The sequence below is a fragment of the Homo sapiens genome, chromosome 1, assembly GCF_000001405.40.
Source record: "Homo sapiens chromosome 1, GRCh38.p14 Primary Assembly".
NCBI classification, from domain to species: Eukaryota; Metazoa; Chordata; class Mammalia; order Primates; family Hominidae; genus Homo; species Homo sapiens.
Window position 1 is genome coordinate 74,950,452 of NC_000001.11, and position 2,469 is coordinate 74,952,920.

General features: G+C 53.9%; 1 annotated feature.

Annotated features, from left to right (window-relative positions):
• Positions 1,329–1,867: an enhancer, noted in NCBI's record as "H3K27ac-H3K4me1 hESC enhancer chr1:75417464-75418002 (GRCh37/hg19 assembly coordinates)". NCBI's record gives its function as "activates a minimal SCP1, AML or CMV promoter by ChIP-STARR-seq in naive H9 embryonic stem cells {active_cell/tissue: H9 hESC(naive)}" and the evidence as "EXISTENCE:reporter gene assay evidence [ECO:0000049][PMID:30033119]".

Below are 2,469 nucleotides of genomic sequence, written 5' to 3' on the forward strand. Positions count from 1 at the left end.
ATGTCCAGGCAGAGATGTGCTTCAGGGGCAGTGACCTCATGGAGAACCTCTGCTAGGGCAGTGCAAAAGGGAAATGTTGGGTGGGAGCACCCACACAGTCCCCAGTGGGGCACTGCCTAGTGGAGCTGTGAGAAGAAGGTCACCATCCTCCAGATCCCAGAATGGTAGATCCAACAACAGCTTACACTGTGTGCCTGAAAAAGCCTCAGACACTCAATCCCAGCCCATGAAAGCAGCCAGGAAAGGGACTATACCCTGCAAAGCCACAGGGGCAGAGCTTCCCAAAACTATGGGAGCCTACCTTGTGCATCAGCATGACCTGGATGTGAGACATGGAGTCAAAGGCCCCATTTTCATTTCAGAGCTTTAAGATTTGACCACCCCATTGGATTTCAGACTTGCATGGGGCCTATAGTCCCTTTGTTTTTGCCAATTTCTCCCATTCAGAATGGCTGTATTTAGCCAATACCTGTACCCCCATTGTATCTAGGAAGTAACCAACTTTCTTTTGATTTTACAGTCTCATAGGCAGAAGGGACTTGCCTTGTCTCGGCTGAGACTTTGGACTGTGGACATTTGAGTTAATGCTGAAATGAGTTAAGACTTTCGGGGACTGTTAGGAAGGCATGATTGGTTTTAAAATGTGAGAACATGAGATTTGGCACAGGCCAGGGGAGGGATGATATGGTTTGGCCAAATCTCATCTAGAATTGTAGCTCCCATAATTCCCACATGTCATGGGAGGGACCCAGTGGGAGGTAATTGAATCATGGTGTGTCCGGAATTGGTGGGTTCTTGGTCTCACTGACTTAAAGAATGAAGCCGCGGACCCTCACGGTGAGTGTTACAGCTCTTAAGGTGGCGTGTCTGGAGTCTGTCCCTTCTGATGTTCAGATGTGTTCAGAGTTTCTTCCTTCTGGTGGGTTCGTGGTCTCGCTGGCTCAGGAGTGAAGCTGCAGACCTTCGCGGTGAGTGTTACAGCTCTTAAGGCAGCGCATCTGGAGTTGTTCGTTCCTCCTGGTGGGCTCGTGGTCTCGCTGGGCTCAGGAGTGAAGCTGCAGATCTTTGCGGTGAGTGTTACAGCTCATAAAAGCAGCATGGACCCAAAGAGTGAGCAGTAGCAAGATTTATCGCAAAGAGCGAAAGAACAAAGCTTCCACAGTGTGGAAGGGGACCCAAGCGGGTTGCCAATGCTGGCTCGGGCAGCCTGCTTTTATTCTCTTATCTGGCCCCACCCACATCCTGCTGATTGGTAGAGCCGAGTGGCCTGTTTTGTCAGGGCGCTGATTGGTGCATTTACAATCCCTGAGCTAGATACAAAGGTTCTCCACTTCCCCATCAGATTAGTTAGACACAGAGTTTCCACACACAGGTTCTCCAAGGCCCCACCAGAGCAGCTAGATACAGAGTGTCGATTGGTGCATTCACAAACCTTGAGCTAAACACAGGGTGCTGATTGGTGTATTTACAATCCCTGAGCTAGATATAAAGGTTCTCCACGTCCCCAACAGACTCAAGAGCCCAGCTGGCTTCACCTAGTGGATCCTGCACCAGGGCTGCAGGTGGAGCTGCCTGCCAGTCCTGCGCCGTGCACTCGCATTCCTCAGCCCTTGGGTGGTCGATGGGACTGGGCGCATGGAGCAGGGGGTGGCGCTCGTCGGGGAGGCTCGGGCAGCACAGGAGCCCATGGAGTGGGTGGGAGGCTCAGGCATGGCGGGCTGCAGGTCCTGAGCCCTGCCCGGTGGGAAGGCAGCCGAGGCTCGGCGAGAAATCGAGCGCAGCTCCGGTGGGCCAGCACTGCTGGGGGAATCAGTACACCCTCCGCAGCCACTGGCCTGGGTGCTAAGTCCCCCATTGCCCGGGGCCAGCAGGGCTGGCTGGCTGCTCCGAGTGCGGGGCCCACCAAGCCCACGCCCACCCGGAACTCCAGCTGGCCCGCAAGTGCCGCACACAGCCCCGGTTCCCGCTCGTGCCTCTCTCTCCACACCTCCCTGCAAGCTGAGGGAGTGGGCTCCGGCCTTGGCCAGCCCAGAAAGGGGCTCCCACAGTGCAGTGGGGGACTGAAGGGCTCCTCAAATGCCACCAAAGTGGGAGCCCAGGCAGGGGAGGTGCCGAGAGCAAGCGAGGGCTCTGAGGACTGCCAGCACGCTGTCACTTCTCAATGGGGCCAGGTCTTTCACATGCTGTTCCAGTGATAATGGGTAAGTTTCACAGGATCTGATGGTTTTATAAAGGGGAGCTTTATAAAACCTACGCAAGCTCCCTCTTGCCTGCCGCAATGTCAGACATGCCTTTGCTTCTCCTTTGACTTCCACCATGATTGTGAGGTCACCCCCAGCCAGGTGAAATTGTGAGTGCATTAAACCTCTTTTCTTTATAAATTACCCAGTATCCAGTACGTCTTTATTAGCAGAGTGAGAACAGACTAATACAATCGTCCCATTTAACACATGTGAATGCATGAGTGCA